The sequence below is a fragment of the Homo sapiens genome, chromosome 10 (genome assembly GCF_000001405.40).
Source record: "Homo sapiens chromosome 10, GRCh38.p14 Primary Assembly".
Classification (NCBI taxonomy): Eukaryota; Metazoa; Chordata; class Mammalia; order Primates; family Hominidae; genus Homo; species Homo sapiens.
Genome location: NC_000010.11, coordinates 125976810 through 125997229, shown reverse-complemented (window position 1 = coordinate 125997229; position 20420 = coordinate 125976810). Strand labels below are relative to the sequence as shown.

The 20420-nt window shown below is 45.4% G+C and overlaps 1 protein-coding gene across 3 annotated transcripts in view, besides 1 other annotated feature; it reads right to left on the bottom strand.

The window, feature by feature from the left end:
- FANK1 (fibronectin type III and ankyrin repeat domains 1) overlaps positions 1 to 20420 on the bottom strand; it is a 113029-nt gene that overhangs the window by 12363 nt on the left and 80246 nt on the right. For 2 of the 3 annotated variants that reach the window (NM_145235.5, NM_001363549.2), the window contains exons 2-5: positions 16892 to 17069; positions 8555 to 8679; positions 1732 to 1813; positions 606 to 680 (exon numbers count right to left, since the gene is read on the bottom strand). In NM_145235.5, coding sequence (NP_660278.3) covers positions 606 to 680; positions 1732 to 1813; positions 8555 to 8679; positions 16892 to 17069 — 460 coding nt within the window. Of the gene's footprint in view, positions 1 to 605; positions 681 to 1731; positions 1814 to 7872; positions 7951 to 8554; positions 8680 to 16891; positions 17070 to 20420 lie in introns of all 3 variants that reach the window. The other variant, NM_001350939.2, reaches the window with a different exon arrangement.
- Positions 14770 to 14819: a silencer, noted in NCBI's record as "silent region_2929". NCBI's record gives its function as "represses an Ori minimal core promoter by ATAC-STARR-seq in GM12878 lymphoblastoid cells {active_cell/tissue: GM12878}" and the evidence as "EXISTENCE:reporter gene assay evidence [ECO:0000049][PMID:35858748]".

Below are 20420 nucleotides of genomic sequence, written 5' to 3'. Positions count from 1 at the left end.
TGTGGGCTTTTACCTTTGACACGAGTTATTCATTAAAATCAAATGAAAGCACATGAAACAAATCGGGCTACCAAAATAATTCGCTGTCCTTTGAATGGCCATTTTTAATGTATTCTTAAATGGTAGCATGTAATGAAGATGCATTTCTGTTTTTTTCAAATGGCATTTAATTAAAATATAAATGAAAATGAGGTATTCATATTAATACTTATCTCTGTGTGGAACAGATAATGAGAGTGTATCTGTGAAAATTATAACTTAGCAACCTAGCAGAAAGTTTTCCAGAATATCCCTCTCTCTACATCTTAAAAAAAAAAAATTGAATTCCAATAACCAGTTTTCCAAGAACATAAAAAATATATTGCATGTAATTAAATGGCTACCTCTCTTCCTCAACACATGATTTACATTCTCTCCTGCATGTTGTGTAACTTTATGATTACAATAGTTGAATTTCTAAGCCATCATATGGTACGGTTTGGGAGATAGAAAAGAAACGGTTCCTCCATGGCCCTTTTTCCTCCCATCCTTATCCTGACCAGAGCCTTTGAATAAAATAAAAAGTTAAATCCCCAAGAGAGATTTAAAAAAAAGAAGAGCCATACCTGGTGTATCCTTTCTGGGCAGCAACCATCAGAGCGGTAAAGCCAAACTTATTGGGAACATCAACCTTAACACGGCTTGGGAAAAGCAGAGAAAAGAGATAAACATGCTCAGTACAGCTACTGCAGAGTCAAAGCCGGTGGTTCTCACAGGGCTTAGGTGGGTAAAATGACTCATTTTACTGAAAATTCCAATTTCTTTGTGGCCATTAAATCTTTTCTTGTCTTAGACTGCTAAGAATCTTCTAAACTATATACCTAATATTCTATGAGATTCAAATGTATCATAAAAGAGAAAATTGATGTAATTTCACTTAAAATATACATGCTTCGGCTCAAAGCCATGAGGCCATCGGATAAAGCACTCTCCAGTGAACACAGCTCTTTAAGATAGCTGAGGACAGTGTCTTCACTGCTGACTCTCAGCTCTACCGAACATGAGTCTGTATTGGTGGAGACTCAAGCTTTATCCTTGCCTCCCATCTCACCTACTGGGTAGAGAGCAGCCCTTTCGGAGGTCTTCACGCACATACTCCAGCGTAGCAGCTTTGGCTTTTTGTGGGAACCTTCTCTTAAGAGCTCCAAATTACAGAGCCGAATTCACAAATGACTTGTCTTCTAGGGCACTCAAAACTATTGATTCAAAAAGAACCTAGATAACATCTACTTTTCATGTAGAAGGTAACTTCAAACATCTCATCTGCAGCAGCTATATTCACCATTTCCCCTCTAGTGTTACATCAACCTTCTAAATTAGAAAGCAGTTGATTTGGCGAGTCCCTTGTTTCATCAGAAATTAGATGTGGGCATTTGGGGGTGAAATTTGCCTAAATGCTGCGGCTTATAAGCAAGAGACAGAAATTATTTCTGGGAAGAAAATATGACACCCAGCCTTGTAATTCCTTTTACAATTTCTATTACACAATCACAAAATATAACATTTACATGGGGCTTCATGAGCATCTTTATTAACTGTGGTTTATTAACTCACACCAGTCACCTGAGATCCATTTTGGAGGCAGTTTCAAAGCCATGGGAATTTTTAGGAAAACAAAATGAAACTACTGCATGTATTTCTATGCACTTTATAGGCATGGGGGAAAAAAAACAACTGACAGAGTTCTCTCACCCTCCTTGAAGTATTCGGACCAGCAAATCTTCATCATTCACACTGACAGCCCGGTGCAAGTGCTCACTACTTATGGGCTCTCCTGGAGAAATGAGATGGAAGGCAGTCATCCAGAACATCAGAAAAGGAGACTGCTTCCCGCCATCGTCCTCCTGTGGCCTTCAGGGGATCATCTTCAGGAAGGCGCTTGGCTATTCCTGTTAAGTATATCTTACATTTCCTACTCACCTGCTTCTTTTACCGAAAATGACCTTGTTTTCACATATTAAGAGAACATTTTGACTGACCTAAAGCTTGGGACATTTCCAAGTTATACAGTATTGCTTTGTGAATGTTACTTTGATATTTGGAAATAATCCTTTCAGATTTCATAAGACTTAATAAATGTCTCCTACAAGCAAGGAAAACCTCAGCAATTGTCACAATATGCTAGTTTTATTTGCCAAAGAGATGTTAAACTACTTGGAAAAAAAAAAAAGACAAAGTGCTTTAACATTTGAAATTAAAATTTTCAGTTCTTCCCAGGAATGTGACTTACATATTGGCCTTGTCTTCTCTGAGCTTCTGGGGGCAGAAGGGCTTCGACCCACAGGAAGGTGGGGAGCACCAGGAGAAAAGCCAATTAGGGGAGAGAGCTTGCCAACCAGCGAAGACCCAGGAGGAGTCCAGAAGCCTAAAAGAACAATGGGCCACAGCCGGGGAGGAGGGCATCCTTTGTACAGGGGACATCAGCTCCACAGCGAAGCCAACAGGCAGGCGGGCAGCACAAGCAGAGGGAGAATAAAGGGCTATGTAGAAGCCACCCATCTTTCTAGGCGTTTCTAGTTTCATTTGTTCTTTATTCTACACCTTCTGATTTTAAAAAGTATCACAATTAAGCTTAAATGAAATAACACCAATGAAGCACTTCGAATAGCACCTGACACATCGTAAGTACCCAGCACACAACCTGTTGTTGGGGGTGACAGTACAGCAGCTACCATCGTCAGTGGATACAGCCCCACCACTTCTTACATACTCCAACTGTACGCCCAGCCCCTCATCCGCAAACGGCAAGAGTTTGAGTTTATAATCCCTGGTCTAAAAAAACCTCAAAGGTCTCATTTATTCATTCAACAAACCTAAGTAATGTACATGCCAAGTCCTGTGCTAGGCTCTAGGGGGTTAGCATGAAAAGAGCTAACCATTAGTTCCCATGCTCACTTACACTGTAGTGCCTGCTTTCAGCCTGTTATTCTAAACCCTGAAAGAAAATATCCACTCCTACCCCATCCTCCCCCACTGCACCCTACACTGCCTCCTGGGGCTCACCCACCCTCCCTCTTACCCCATCCTCCCCCACTGCACCCTACGCCACCTCCTGGGGCTCACCCACCCTCCCTCTTATGGTCCGGCCCAGAAAGATCAGCTGGCCTCCCTCTTCCTGCTCCTTATGGTAGAAAATCTCTCTGGGATGCCAGTTCCTGGGCATAGGAGACACTTTTTCTCTGGGTTTCCTCGGAGGGTTTCAGTGGTGCCAAGTGAATTGGGCAATGTACAAACTGGGAAAACAGTGAGACAGGAGAATAAAAGGATTTCTACCAGAAGGATCTTTAGCCGATACCTTTTCCTTTCTTTCATAAAAATAAATTTATGCCAAGTTTAAATTATTTTGAAATAACAATTTTGTCTGCTAGAGCTAGCCAATCTCTTACAGACTTTTTTTAGCTACATTATACTTCCTTTTCATCATTCTACACATTTTTTAGATCAAAAGTGTCAAATAAAAGTCGCACGATAACCTGTCAAAGGCCAAGGCTCACAGCTGTCCCTGGCCTTCCAAGGGAGTTCATGCCATGCTCAGTGGTTTCACTAGAAGGGCTTAGAAAGGAGGCAGGGTTTTATACCCCAGAGGACATTTGGCAATGTCTGGTGACATTTTTGATTGCCACAACGAAGGGGATGGAGCACTGGCATCTAGAGGATAGAGGCCAAGGAACCTGCTAAGAATCCATAAGTGCACAGGACACCACAAGGAACCATCCAGTCCCCAAATATCAGTAGTACCAAAGTTGAGAACCCTGGGCTAGATTAATAAGGACTTAAAATCATGATGCGTCTCATCTATACTTTAGATGGATGAACTAAACCCATAGACTGTTTCCCCTTCTGTTGCTAACCAGGAGAAGAAAAGTGGTATGTTTATAAAAGTCTCTGTTATCCCATTAACAGGCCCCACTTTTTCCTAATCTGAAACTTCACCTGCCACTCAAACATAAAAACAAGTCATTTGGATAAATCACCTATAACAACATATAAAGCTCATTCTATTTCTACTAAGTTGTACAATGTGTAGTATCCTAAATCAAATCCTATGAATTAAGCTGTACGTAGGCTTTTTACCCAGTGCTTTTAAAATTCTCCTCCAAACCACAAGACTGGGAGTCAGAAAAGCTAAGTTGTCCAAGGTCGCCCAGTTAGGAGAGGGCAGCATCAGAGCCAAGGCCAAGTCTTCCATGAGGCCCACTCCTTCCCTTTAGTACTTAGTAAACACTGCAGTATCGACCAGTTCACTATATGCTTCCATTCTTACCAAATTTTGAATACAGATGAACATCATAAGTAAATGTGATCCTCCCGCAAAGTGTTAAAAAAGAAAGGGGATGCCTAAAAATCTTCCAAAACGTGCTAACTGCTTGAGATGTTAAGGAAAGTTCTAAGGGCACAGCCCCAACCACCTCTCTACACCGACCCCTCTACTCCACAGCCTCCATCTTACCTGAACAGAAAGGCTCTCTCGGTGGGGACACTTCCTAGCGCATCCTAACCAGGAAGCTCTGCAGCATGCAAAGGTTGGGAAATGAAACAAGTTCACTGCATGTTTATAAGCTTAAGGACCGTTTGTAGCAAAGACCAGGGCTTTTAGTATTAGGATATAATAAATGTAATGCCAATTCCAGCTTCCACGGGAGGTAAAGAGCACTTCACAGCTTACTCTGAGAACAAAGGGACACCTCACTGAAGAGAGGGGAATGACATAATTGTTCCTCAGTCCTTGCTTGCTGAGCAGTAACCATCGTTCCAGGGTGTGAGAGCTCTTTCTCAGTGTTAACTCCTTAATCGTCCTCACGCTACTACCAAGAGGGAAAGGAGGGACTGAGGATTACACTGAAACCTGTGTGAAGCAACAGAGGTACGAAAACGTCTCCATTTACCTGAATTTGACAAAGAAACAGAAAAGAAATGAAAAGGCCCTTGTTTGCAGTGCACAGCAATTCTTTCTACTCCCACTATAGGCAGGAGTCCTGAGGAACAGAGAGGAAATTCCAGGGTGAACAGAATGTTTCATTCCTCCCACCCCTGAATCCTTCAAGACTTTGTGGGCCTGGCCCAAGGGAATGCCATCAATAAGTGCAACTGAATATTTTTAAAAGGCCGGCCATTGCTCTGCGGGTTTTTCTAGTGTTTTACCCTGAGTGTTGCAATTACAATTATCAAACTGATTCTGCCCATGGTGAGGATGTTAGCCCATGCTCACGTGAGCCAGATGGACTCACCAGTCAGGGCCAGGTGAGCAGGGGCACCGAGGAGAAGGGCAGAGCAGGGCAGAGTGGTCTTGAGGAAGCCATCGCTCATGTTCTCTAAGAGGGTCATTTAGTTGCAGATGTACCTGCAGATATTATAATATGGTGCTAACACCTTTCTTGGTGGAATTTTAAGTCTTTATTAAAAGCAGTGAATAAATCACGAGCTCATTGGAGAAGATATTTGCCAATTAACAAGTAGCAGCTGTTTTTCTTTCTTTATAAGGGCCCAACTGATTAAAATTGTAAGCCTCATTTAAGCAAGAATCTGTGTACTTTACCTGGGGGGAAAAAAAAGGCTGTTCATTCTTTATTCAAACAAAGTGCATGCCTCTGTGACTCATTAAAACACTCTCAAACTGAATGCAAATTACCACCACACAGAAGCATTTTGTATCATGTGCACCTTCTTAGTTCTTTGTTTAGCATGATCTGCCTCCTTAGGAGAATCTGCTTTGGATATTATAAATATATAACACAATAGCATAAGGGAGCTGCAGCCAGCCCACAGAGCCAAGAGCCTGCCCCAGCTAGGAGGAGGAGGACACCTGATCCTCACCACCCAGTACAGCCCCCCTGAGGTTGAGAAGGCTTCCTGGCTGCAGGCAGTGATGCTATCTATTATCTGGCAGTGAAATGGCCAGGATCACTCCCCCAACACACACACACACACACACACACACACCCCTGGTCACCACCACACACTCATCCCTGCAGGAGGCCTCATCTAATTACTCATGGAAGCCATGGCGCTGTAAGGACAAATGCGCTGCACCAACTCTCCATGGCTGCCTCTGGAGCCAGCTCAGTGGGGAGAAGGCACATCTGGCCCACAGGCACAGCCTGATATAGTTTGGCTGTGTCCCCACCCAAATCTCATCTTGAATTGTAGCTCCCATAATTCACATGTGTCATGGGAGTGACCTGGTGGGAGGTAACTGAATCATGGGGGTGGGGCTTTCCCATGCTGTTCTCATGATAGTGAATAAGTCTCATAAGATCTGATGGTTTTATAAAGGGAAATTCCCCTGCACATGCTCTCTCTTGCCTGCCGCCGTGGAAGACATGCCTTTACTCCTTCTTTGCCTTCCACCATGGTTGTGAGGCCTCCCCAGCCATGTGGAACTGTGAGTCCATTAAACTTCTTTCCTTTATAATAAATTACCCAGCCTCAGGTATGTCTTTATTAGCAGTGTGAGAACACACTAATAAACAGCCCTTCCTAAAATTGCTCCAAATGGTACTCCAACCCCATGTAAACTCAGGCTAGGACGGCCAGAAGCCCCTGCCCTGGCTTTGGTGTGCTATTAAGAGGATGCTAGAGGCCACCTGAAGCCCACAATGGAAGGCTGCAGAACCAACCATATTCACCCTCACCTGGAAGGTTCGGGTGGACTCTCACTGGCCAGTGGAAAACTAATACATCTTCCAACAAACATAAATGCAACCTGAGAAAATCAGTGTTTCTTTTCATACTCTTAATTCTGCCACTGGTCTTTAATTCATTACCCATCCATCCATCAAGGATCTTCTTTTTTTAAAGAAAGGGTCCTGCTCTGTTGCCCAGGCTGGAGAGTGCAGTGGTGCCACCATAGCTCACTGTAGCCTTGAACTCCTGGCTGAAGCGATACTCCTGCTCAGGCCACAGGCACACACACTGACTTATTTATTAAGGAACTCCCACAAGCTACAGATGGCCAACCCATCGTCCATCCTTTCGGAGCCCGCAATGTAGGTGAGAGACCAAAAGGTAGACAAATACTTAAGATGCAAGAAGTGTTCATAGAGGTGGGGGAATACTGCTCTGTACCTGGGGAGGAGGGAAGGCATGTGACAGAGGAGGGGAAAGCCACACGAGGAATCGCCCCTGCCATGCTTGCCCATGGAGCAGGCTCAGTGAGCACAGCAATGAAGTGAGTGCTCCAGGGAAGAAGGGCAGAGGTAGGGGAGTGTGCAGTGGCAGGAGGCCTGTGGGCGGTGGGGACAGCAAGAGGATGGGAGGGAGCAGAAAGGTAGCCTGGGACGGCATCCTGGCTGGGGTTGCCCGGAGTCTCTGTTCATATGCCTGACTCCCTTTGCCACCTCTTCCTCCTGCCCCTTCTCCTGCAATGCCCTCTGCCTTCCTTCAGCACACAGAGCTCATGTTCTGCTGTCTTTGCTTTCTCTTAAGAACCCCAGAGGTAAGTACCTTCCATGTTACAGCAAATGTTCTCAACACTGTCGGATGAAGGAACGAGCCCTCTTTTTTTACCTGCATCCCCAGAGTTGACCATTTCATATCACAAGTCTCCTCTGAAATTGTGTTTTTCACAGATAAACTCCCAGTTTGCTAAACTCAGATCCTGTCCCCTCATGCCAGGTCTGCAACTGAAGGTACCACAGCTCAAAAGCTGAGTTAACTCAAAAGCTGAGTTAACTTTAGTCTACACAAAACTTGTAATGAAGAAATGCCTAAAGGACACAGTTGAAAGCCATGGAAAGCACATACCTCCAAGCCAAATGCTACCTGGAATAAAACGGAAAAAGAGCTTTACTCACAAAAGGAAGGTTTCCTTTGTGCAACTGAAAAATTACTTGCCTGTGTTTTCAGTGGGTGGGCCGTGGAGAACACTTGTGACCATCCTAATTTTTACAAGGCTCTTGCTCAGAGATGGCCCTGGACATAGATAGCATCTTTAAAATGCTTTAAAATACCAATCTCAGAAACAACCTTAAAACTCAGCCGGCTGAAGGGCTCAGAGGTCTCCATGTGGGGCTCTCCCTCACAGGATTCTCCGTGGATGCAGCAGCACTGTTCGTTCACCCTCACTCACCGTGACCCCAGGAATCGGGTTTGTGTGGCGAGTTAAGACGCACACCCTGGGGTTGTCTAAAATGGATATGACACTGAATGGAGCTGCTTGCCCAAGGACGCTCAGGCAGGCAGCCTGCTTGGCTGTGTGGGGACGCTTAGGCTTACCCAGCCCACACCCCTGTGGCCCATTTCCTAAGAAAGGTGACTCCACCCTTTTGTGCTGAATGGCTACTAACAGGACAGTTCTGGCACAAAAATAGCTCTCCCAGTTTGTGAAAGCATAATTAGACTTCCCTGACATTACAAGTTATGGCAAGGCCCAACTAGCAAATATTATTGCAGTGTTTAAAAATTGTATCATTTCTGCTTCTGGTAAGGCCAAACGAGAGGCAGAATATTTTTTCTAAATTGCTTGTCATCTCCATTGATCTAGAGAGAGGTGAGTGTGGACGGTCTGAATACTCACTGGTTGTAGACACTGAGACGAGTGGGCTGTACTCACACTCCCCAGAGGGGCTGGTGACCTTCAGGCGAAATCTGTACAGCGTCCTTGGTTCCAGACCTTCAACAACATGCTTCGTTGCATATCCCCTAGACAGGAGGAGACAAACATGCTGATAACACCAGGTAGCTTAATCTGCACTCTCTGATAAGACAGCAGAAGAGCAGGTGGAAGTGATTTTCCTTCTATTTCCAGGACACAGCCGATGGATCCTGCTTTGCTGAACTCCGAGAGAATGAAGGACAAGTCCCACATGGCGCCCCATCCCTATCCAGCAGGTGCACTCTGTCCCATAGGGCCTAGTCCAGGGCCTGACACATAGCCAGCATACTGTTTTGTACTTTGGAGAAATAATCACGTTAACCACGACATTTGCCCTCAAGTAACAAAGTTTTATATTTGAAAGATAAGACAGGCAGTCAAATCATATATTTGTAATTTTCAAGTGGGGGCCATCTAGTGATGGGGGCTGCAAGGCTAATACATGGCTGTATAACTATTGCAGGCAAAATACCACTGCAGGGAAAGGACCTGAAGAAGTCACATGCAAGATTGCTCGTAGTCCATAAGCAACTTCCAGTAGAGCTGGGAGCTCAGGCAGCACATAGAAGACAATGCTAACATCATGCCCCATGGTCAAGTTCATCTTAGGAATGTTTGTGGGAAATGGATGCTGAGCACTTCTGGGATAGAAATCTGATGAGAGACTCACGATGGAAATCCACACACCTCCAGAGGGAAGTAGTACTGAGTCTCATCATTTGCAGTCTGCAAAATCAGCACCAAGAAATGCCTGCCTGCTCAGAAGATGCTGGGACCTAGCGCAAGTGCTAAGATAAGACCCCACCTTCTGCTTGTGAGGCAGGTCCCAGGAGCCTGGCTTTGACTTGGCATGCATTCTACAATATCAGGTCTCCAAAAGTTGACAGAGCTGTATATATTTCCCAGTATTACCCAAAACCTCCATGTTACCCATTTCTCTTTTCTGCCAACATTCTTTCTTCTTATCCGACTAAACTCCATGTATCCCTTTTCAAATCTTATCTCTAAATTTTTCTTTTCTTCTACTCAAAGCCTTGGTTTTTGAGAGGGTGTGTGTGTGTGTGTGTGTCATTTCCAGCTCTTTCTTCTTTCCTGCTTCAACACTTAATCCAGTTCTTGTTCTCCTCCCTTGGACCATTCTCCATAGCTCCTTAGATGCCAAGGTTACCATTGTTTCCTCCTTTTGTTTTTTCCTGTCTCTAGTTTTTACTTTTATTCTCAATAGATCCTCCAAAGATACCAGAATCATTCTTTGTGATTCACAACTAATTTTTCCAGGATGTTTATGTGCAACTAAATATTTATACATCAATTCCATTCCATACAACTCAACAAGTGTATCTAGTGCCCATTATTTGCAAGGTGCTGGGACAGGCTGGGATGTAGTCCTGAACCAGCTCAGGGCCAAAATGAACCTGTCAACACTGAGTTGACCCCAACTTCCTACTGATGGGGTCCAAGAAAAGGGGCAGTCAAGGACAGTGAAGAAGGGACAACTGAGCAAGGGTGAAATGACAGTGCTGGAGTTAGCATCACTAATAAACACTTGAAAACCTGACTTCAGATCTGGATCAGGTGGGTGAGCTAACACCTCACCTAATCATCAAACAGCCTTGCCCACTCACTCCCAGCCCCCACTGGATTCTTTCTCCTAAAGGATGAGGCATGGCACAAAGTGTGTGGCTAAAGAACAGACCCAACACTTGTCCTAGAGGGAGGAGTATCCCCAAAGGAGAAGCCAGAAGGTCTAAGTTCCTTCCGCCAAATTCATCCATCAAACAAGTAATTCCCCCACTGAGGAACAGGCATGGGGCAGGAACAGGTACCTGAGAAACAGGTACAGGGCAGAGGGAATGAGGTGCCAGGACAGTGTCCTCTGGTTGAGGTATCTCTGATGTCAAGTGAGAAATGGCATAAAGGACTTCCATGACAGACAGGCAGACGTCTCCCAGGCAGTCTGAGAAAGGGACTTCCCAGTAGGGTTGAAAGAACACACAACACCTGGGAAAGTCATGGTCTAGGTACTCTCACTGCGGTGAGTCAGGGCGCAGAAGAGTCTGGCACGTCCAGGAAAGAGGTGCCTCCGTGAAATCTGGAGACAACTCTAACATCATAATTCTAACATCTAACAGAACCTTTTTTTGAAAACTGAAAAACATTTACAAAGACTTTCTTCACTTGATGTTTCTGTCCTTTGTTAAAATGTGAAATTTCAAGGTAAAATCAAACACTGAACGTTCAATGATCCTGTTTTTGCATCACAAAGTTACTTCAGACACCAAATCTAAATGACTTCTCGGGTGTAGCACCAGCAGAGCCAAGAAAAAGACTAAGCACATTGAGGCACCTCTGACCACGTACGTGTCTCTGCCTCCCTGCTCTGTGCTGGTGGATTCAGTCTCCTAACTGACATCATCTTTGCCAGAAACACATTTCTCTTCACCTAAAAGAAGCCAAATGAGCTGGAAGTCAAGCTGACCTCCACAGTCTCCACCATCCCCGCAGGAACATGTTCCTCCCCTGCCAGAGTTAGAGTCTAGTTCCTCTCCCCTTGAACAGGATGGGAAGTGGTAGAAGAGAATCTGTACAGCTCTGGGTCTGGGCCTTAAGATGCCCAGAAGTTTCTGCTTCTCCTCCCTTGGAAGCAGGGAGGAGAAGCTCAACTTCCCTGTTAGAGAAAGAGGCCACCTAGTAAGACAGTCAGTGGAAGATCCAGACCACAAAGGAGATGAAAAAGCCCAGCCAGTCTCCTGCTGTCCTGGCCATCCCAGCTGATGCATCACACATGGGTGAAGCCATTTGGTTCTTCCAGCCCCAAGAGAGCTGCAACGGCCAAGACCACATGGGGCAGAAACAAGCCATCAACACCCTAGCCAAATTACAGATCATGAGCAAACACATGCCTGTTTCTGCTGTCAACCACTAAGTCTGGGGCTGGTTTGTCATGCAGCAGATAACTGAGATAGTATGTATCAACAAAAAAGAAACTGTAGGAAAGACAATGAAGAAATAACGCCAATGGCATTACAGAAACTTTTCGATCAAGAAACCGAGAAGTAGATAAGTGTTAAAAATTGATATAAACACATTTACCATAAAAGTAAAAGCTCTAAAACCAAGATAAATATTCAGAAAAACCGCCAGGGCTAAAAAGTAATAATTTTTTTAAAACTAAAATGTATCAGCCTGGCACAAAGTAGTCTTATGAGTAGGTAGATTTTGATGTTAAATGAAAATAGGTCCATGAATACTTAGATATTTGAGTCATAGAAACTGAGCCCTCAATAATGTGTGGCATCTGAAAAGATCTTTAGAAGTTCAGTGAGAATATAATAGCCAAGCCTCACCAGAATTCAGTGCAAGGTGTCAAAGACTTAGCATAGCATTAGACCAAAATAAAACCAGAAGTGCTCCCAATAAAATTCAGTATTGCTAAATATCATAAGGTCACCCTGAAGCAAACAGCACCTCCATAACCCCTGGAAAGGGAAATAACGCAACTGTGTTAGAAACCAGATGTTACCAAGCACGCTTGTCAAAGGCTGAAGATTCTTGCATCACTAGAGATGGCTCCAAAGAGGACAAAAGCCACAGCAGGGACCAGGACACAACTGCCCACCAGGGTACTCTACAGCGATTACAACACAGGCGCAGGGAGGACTCATGAGAGCAGTTCATTGAACCCATGGAGAAGCGCAACTTTACCTAGACATGACAGCTGAAAAAATAAATGAATCTTAGAGTGACTTCCACAGTAGAGGAAAGTCTACAAAAATTTAAAGCATAGCCTTGTTTTTGTTATCAGTCAATAAGCAAATGTTTGATGCAAGAGCTGAGCAAATATGAAACATAAGAAGCTAAATAAATATTGAAAAGCCCCAAGACTCAGTTACCAGACTTCCCTTTCTTCTCTAAACTCCCTCCCCCAGAATTCCAATCCAGCCTCATGCTGATGACTCTGGAGTCTGTCTCTCCAACCCAGACCCTTTCCCTGGCCCTTGACATCCCCAACACCCTCCCTGACATCTCGGCTTGGACGTCAGACAGTTTCAAACTGAGCATCTACTCCACCCACAGTCTTCCCCATCTCTGTTATTACAGTTGCTCAGGCCAGACCCTGGGTGCCTCCTGTGGAAGACTGGATTGTTGTTCAGAGACACAAGGTGCCCTCCCACAAGGATTCTATCTACCTCCCCGCCCTGTTGAACTCGGACATGGCTGCATGTCTTGCTTTGAGCAATGAAGTATACACAGAAGTGAAGTATGTCATTCTGGGCAGAAGCTTCAAGAAACAGCATGCCATGCTCTCTCCCCTGCTACAGTGACTGACAATGTTCACGCAGAGGCTGCCGCATGGCCTGGGCTGTGGCAGGAGGACAATGCAGGATGGAGCCCTGGCCGACCCACGGTGGGCATGGTGTGTAGGAGGGAATCACTGCTGCCATAAGCCACTGAGACTGTGACGCTGATGCTTCCAGCAGCATCACTGGGCCTGTGCTGGCTACCACATATCCCTTGACCATCCTCTCTCTCACATCCCGTATCTCACATCCCATATTCGGTCCACCACCAAGTTCTTAAATCCATCTTTAAAGCATATCCTGCATCCTCCCACTTTCCACACTGTTGTGTTGTCTCCCACCTAAACTGTTTCAAAAGCTTCTTCATCAGTCCTCCCTGCTGCTTGCTGCCTGGCCTCCCTACAGCCTGTTCCCAACTCAGCAGCCAGAGGGATCCTCGTAAAACATAAGCCGGATCACACCTCTTCTCAGCTTCACAATCTCCAGTGGCTTTCCCCGCCTCTCTCAGAGTAAGCCAGAGTTCTCCCAATAACCCTCAAGGCCCAGGCAGTGACCTCTCATGACCCAGCTGCCCTCGCCCCCATTATTTTCCTCCTTGTTCCCTCTGTTCCTCAATGCTCCTGGGACCAGCCAGGTACATTTGTACTGCCAGGCTTTCTCACCTGCCCTTTGCTATGTCTGGAAGGTTCTTCCCCCAGATAGTTGCAAGGCTCCAGGTATCCTTGCTTCAGATCTACTCAGAAGCTACCTTCTTGGTGAAGACTTCCCCACCTCTACCCCAGGCCCTCAATTTTTCCTATGCTGCTGCCCCTCAGTATGTATTGCCTGCTGACTACCTATTTTTACTTATGTATCTTATTTATTGTTTGCCTTCATCATCATGAGGGAGGAATTTTTTCCCAGTGCCGTATCCCCAGCATCCGGAGCAGTGTCTGACACACGGCAGACACTCAATAATACACGCTGATGGAATAAATGGAATGCGTGGCATGGGCAGCAACGATCACAGGAATTTAGGGCACAGACAATAGGGTAGTAAGGAGAGCTTCTCAGTGGAGGTAAAATCTGACCAGGGCAGAAGAAAGAATAGGGTGAGAGGGGAAAATCTGTCCAAACAGGGAAAACAACTGAACACACATGCAGAAAACGTCAAGGCATATTCAAAGGACAGTAAGAAATCTGACTGGAGGGTTTGTGCTGAGAAATAAGAGGCAACAAGAAAGGCAGGTGTAGGGAAACTGTGAAAGACATTAAATGTTAGTCTAAGGAATTTGGCCTTTATCCTTTAAGCAATGGAGGACCCACCAAAGACAATGTGACAAAAGAAAGATTAAAATGGAAATTAGCCCAGCAAGATAGAATGATGAGAAAAAAAAAAAAGGAATAAAGTCAACTCCTTCCATCAGAAAATACACTGGGCAGGTGTAGGAGCTGGGGATCCACAAATGAGCTAGACAGAAATAAAGCCTACATCCTGCAGGGGAAAACGCAGCTAAAGAGGGAAAGCACAGAAGCAATTCTACAAATGGAGAACTCAGTAACTGACTGGCTATGAGAAGCCATGGAGGAAAGCCCAAGTCAAAGACAATATCATTGTTTCCAGATAGACTGATGACTGATGGGAACAGAAACTGACAAATCAGGAAGAAGTTCTTAAATCCACAATCCAAACATCAGGTATTCTAGATAACCACTTTTTACAAGAAAAGCATTTGCTAGTTTTAATGCTATGTAGAGAAAGAAATAAGGAAGCAAAAGAGGTCAAGATTAATGCAGCCTAATTCTGCCACCTAGCGTCAAGATTTGTACTTGTAATTCTGTGAGAAACGCAGGCATTTCCCCACTGTCCTTAGAGCAGGGACCACAGATGTCACTGCCAGCCCCACAATGCCAGGCTGTCGTCAGAGTGAGAGTGCGTTCTCCAGCCTGACAGCAACCAGGTCTCTGGGGAGAATGCAGACAACACAGACACACACCTCAGGCTGGAAGCCAGCACACGCAGCTATGGTTTCTCTAGCTGAGGCTGCCTACCTGGCCACCCAGCAAAGGCACAGCCAAGGAAGAAAGAACGATGCAGGATGGCCCCATTCACCTGCCCAACACAGCTTGTGGTGCTAAGGTGATGGGGGAAAGAAAGATGTCTTTTTCTTTCTCAAGAGAAATGTTTCTCATAATTCATGCTTTTAGATAGAAAAAGCATACCTTCAATAAGTAAAACGACATGATTAAAATAACATTTGAGTAGTCAGAACAAGAACTATTTTTACATTGCAACTACATTTCAGATTTTTCTTAAGGTACAGAGAAATTTCTCAAATATCAGATATATTATCACTCAAGTAACAGTTGAAATTGGAGCTTTCATATACAGATTATATACATATTTATAGATATTTATACACACATACACATAAACATATCTATCTTCTCATGTCAGCACTTTTATCACAATGCAAACTTGAGAAAAGGCCAGGAAAGTGATGAACCTGTTCTGCATCTTGACTGCATCAATGCCAATATCCTGACTGTGACACTGCACTATTATTTTCAAAGATGTTACCATAGGGGAGAAATGGGAAAAGGTACAATCACTCTTTCTTACAACTGGATATGAATCTATAATTATTTCAAAATTAAAAGTTTCACTAAAAACCATATTTGTATCTCATTTTTGGTATTCCTGAATCACAAAATAGTCATTTTGCATTTTTCAAGTGGTAAATCTATCAAGGGGAAGAAATAAGTCAGAGATGATATGAAGACTAAGAAGAAAAACATAACTTTTTTTTTTTTTTTTTTTGAGACAGGGTCTCACTCTGTCACCCAGGCTGGAGTGCAGTGGCACAATCATGGCTCACTGCAGCCTCGACCTCCCAGGCTCAAGTGATCCTCCCACCTCAGCCCGGGACTACAGGCATAAGCCACCACACCTGGCTAACTTTTGGATTTTTTGTAGAGATGGGATTTCACTATGTTGCCTAGGCTGGTCTTGAACATCCAGGTTCAAGGGATCTGCCCACTTCAGCCTCCCACAGTGCTGAGATTACAGGCATGAGCCACCATGCCTGGCCAAAAGTGACTTCTTCATTACTCCTGGTGGTATTGGTTCATGCCAGAAGCATTTGGAAGGCCTGCTATATAACAGCCAGCACTGTCAAGGAACCGGCTAGAGCGTTAAGCAGGCAGAAGTCTTATTTGTCTCTCACTGAGTTTAATACTGGGTGAGGAGGCAGGAAAGGAACAAGAAGTAAACAAGTAAACAACAAGGTAAACAAACTAAGCAAACAAGTAAACAAGTAAAATAAGCCCAACAGAGCTAAATGCTATGTGGCATACAAAACAAGGTTCTGAGCTACAGGAGGCCTGCATGAAAGGATGGCTACTTCAGATGGCCTTCTGGGGGCGGGGGGATGTTTCATCTGAGATTGGCATGGTGTGAAGGAACCAGCTGTATAAAAACAGAAGGAAATGTATTCAAGACCACAGCAACGAGCAAGATCCTGCGATGGGAACCAGCTTGGCCTGTCCAGGCTGAGAGGCAGCCAGCGTGGTATAAGAGAGTTGACAAGGGGACAATGGTATGACATGAGATCAGAGAAGCTAGCCAGGGTAGACCATGCGGGGCCATTCCACGTCAGTGAACACAACAGCCTGATGGGAAGCTCACCTAATTGCATCAAGCTATTGTTTGAGTCTGTCTCTACATTCTGGATTTTAAATACATATCATTAAAATATTTCAGAAGTCAAAGAAGCTCTCAAAGGTACAGAGGTTTAATTTCAAAGTTACTGCTAATGCCTATTTTCCAAAAATTGTAATTCATAAAAGAGCATGAATACAAATGATGCTGACTCATTCTTTAATTTGAAACAAGCAGTGGCTTTTTAGAGACAACAGAAATCATTCCAGCTAATCAGGAAGTAAGGCAAAGTGGCAAGCAATTCAACACTGCACCTACGTATAAATGATACCATAAGTGTGCATTTTGGGGTCTTCTTCTTCAATCGAGAACCTGAACCACTGCTCTTGAGGTCCTTGGCGTTTGGCTTTCTTTTCCAGATCCCAGTATAATTCAATGCTGTGATGAGTCACTTTGCCCACGACAGGTGGATGAGGCTTTGAGGGTGGCATGATTTCTAAAAAAAAGAATGACACCGAACTTCAGGACCCAGTTTCCATAAGGAAGAGAGACCAGTCGAGTGGATTACAGCTGCTTGGTGATCGAGCTATTTTTCTGAGCATAAGGCACACATATGAGCATACCTCCCTGTTGCTTAAAGAACCCCTGAAAAGCTAAAGAGATACAAAATTCAGCTGATGTGTGAGCTACCACAGTCTTCAACAAGCATATATTGTACCATGCCCATCAATATCATACCACCCCCACTGACCCTTCCAAAGGGCTGCTTAACATATCAAACTAATAAGGTTGTATTTGACCTGCTGGAACTCAGTTTGCTTCTGTAATCCTTCAGTGACTAACAAAGCCAAGAGACAAATGCTCTATCTGATCCAAGTATGTGGAACATAGATGACAAAGGGTTGACACCTATGCTGTATAAACAGCCCTCAGAAACTAACCAGGAATAAAGGCCCAAGGTTAGTAACAAACCTAGCAAAAGATGAGCAGCACACAAAAGAGCAAAAACAAATTGCCAAGGTAATATCTGGAAAGATGCTCATATCATCCCCTAGTGCTCACAGAAATTGGTAACAATGGGGTATAACTTTATATCCAGTCAGAAACTGAAAAAGAAATTTCATAACTATTGGAGTTCACAAGATAGGGAGAGGATATTCTCATGTGCCAGTTGTAGTGAAATATGAATTATCGCCTTTTTAGAGGGCAATATGGAAGCATCTATTAAAATTAAAAATACACATATCCCTGTCTCACCATCCCACCCCTGGAAACTTCTGCAGAAATCAGAGCATAAATACACACAAGAGTGAGTGGCCAAGATGGCTGACTAGAAGCAGCTGGTGTACCTGACTCTCACGGAGAGGAACAGAAGGGGCGAGTGAATACAACACCTTCAACTGAAACAGCCAGATACTCGCACTGGGACTAATCAAGGAAACAACCTGACCCACAGAGAACAAAGAAAAGCAAGACAGGACAATGGCCCCCCGGGGGTCAGCACGGAGCCAGGGGATACTCCCCTGCCCAGAGAAGCAATGACCGAATGAGCGACCCAGAAACCATGCTTCTCCCACAGATCTTTGCAAACCTCAGGTCAGGAGCTCTCCACGTAAACCCCTCTCTACCAGTGCCTTCAGTCTTCATTCTGACAGAGCAGCGTGGAGTCTTGGCAGAGCAGCCGCTCAGGCACGCGTGGAGACCCTGGAGCCTTAGCTACTCAGGCTTTCCAGCAAAAGTAGCCGTAGCTCTGGCAAAGTGAGAGGTTAGACTCCTGTACATACACTTAGGAAAGAGGATGAATCCAGGCAGCTAAGCAGCAACAGCCCCCACTTCCACTGCACCTCACGAGATAAGACCCACTGGCTTGGAATTCCAGCCAGCTACCAGTAGCGGCATTGCACCACCCTAAGAAGGAGCTCCCAGGGGGAGGGGCAGGCCACCAGCTTTGCTGTTTGGGCACCTTAGCCATTCTAGCTTTCAGGCTTTGGAGAGTCCGAGCCAACACAGGGCAGAAGGGATCCCCCAGTACAGCATAGCTGCTCTACCGAAACGTGGCCGGACAGCTGCTTTAAGCAGGTACCTATCCCGTTCCCTCACTGGGCAGGACCTTCCAACTGGGGCCTCTAGCCACCCCTGCCCGAGCTGTCCATCTGACAGATGGACATTGAATTTCCCCTGGGATGGCACTCCCAGAGGGAGAGGTAGGCCACCATCTTTACTGTTCAGGTGCCTTAGCTGTTCCAGCCTTTGAGCCTCATAGTATCCGAGGCGATCAGGGGCTGAAGCGGACCCCTAGCACAGCACAACTGCTCTCCCAAAATGTGGCCACTTTTTTAAGTGGGTCCCAATCCCGTTCCTCCTCACTGGCCGGGACCTCCCAACCAGGGTCTCCAGTCACTTCCTACAGGTGCCTTTGGGCCGACACCAGGTCCATACCTCCCTGGGACGAAGCTCCCAGAGGGAGGGACAGGCTGCCATATTTGCTGTTTCTCAGCCTTCACTGGTGACACCTCCAGGTTCTGGAAAATCTGAGGTGACTAGGGACTGGAGCAGGCCCCAAGCATACCACAGCAGCCCTATGGAAAAGTGGGCAGACTTGTCCATATCTCCTCACTGGACAGGTCCTCCAGGCCTGGGCCTCCAGCCACCCCCGCCAGAGCTGTGGAGCCAGTACCAACTCAGCAACTCCCCGAACAGAGCCTCCAGGGGCAACTGAAAGCCTCTCTGCCACTATCTCAGCAGTGGAACTGCCCTTGCCACCTTCAAACTAACAAAGGAGCAAAGACTCTAAGAGTACCTTATCTACACCTCCAATAAGCTACAGTCGACCCAAGGAGAGGCAGCCAGTCTGTCTCCTACAGGTCCCACACCCACTCTCCCCAGCATGGCTCATCACCAGACAGGGAACCCCTGGCTTGGGCACACAGCACAAACCCTACATCTTGGGCTGACTGCACCAAGTGATTGCTGACCCACATCTCTCTGAGGTGGAGCAAGCAAATAACCCCCGGCCACAACCCCTGCTAAGATCTCTTCCTCTGCTGCCTCTAAGCTGAGAAAGGAACATAAACACTGAGATCACCCCAGAGCTGCAGTGGGCATCCCAGGAGTGCCAAGGAGAGCCAGCACTCAAGTGGGAGAGGAACACACAGTTTCAGAGCACTGAAAGGGAGCATGACGGAAACTGTGAGGAAACAGGGGAGCCACGCAACCAAACAAGAGTCTAGCAACTGACCAATTCACCTAAGCGCCACCTACTGGATCACACCCCAAAGCTTCAATACCAAAAACACCTCATTAACATACCCCCCTCTGAAACCAGAGACAACAAGTAAGCTTCAAATAAAGACCCTACATAAAGCATCAGCCCAGTGAAAACATCCAGAAAAGAAGTCTGTTGACCGTACTCAATCTACATTAAAGGAACACCCACACTCAGATGAGAAAGAACCAGCAAGAACTCTGATAACACTCAGATGGCCAGAGTGTCATACGCCCTCCAAATGGCCACACCAGTTCTCCAATAAGAGTTTGTAACCAGGCAGAACTGGCTGGAATACAGAATATGGATAGGAACAAAGATCACTGAGATTCAGGAGGATGTTGAAACCAAATCTAAGGAAAAGAACAATCACAGTAAAATGATATAGAAGCTGAAGGATAGAATAGCCAGCATAAAAAAAAACCTAACGGGTCTGACAGAGCTAAATAATGCAATATGATAATTTTATGACCGGGCACAGTAGCTCACTCCAGTAATCCCAGCACTTTGGGAGGCTGAGGCAGATGGATTGCCTGAGGTCAGGAATTTCAGGACAGCCTGGCCAACATGGTGAAACCCCGT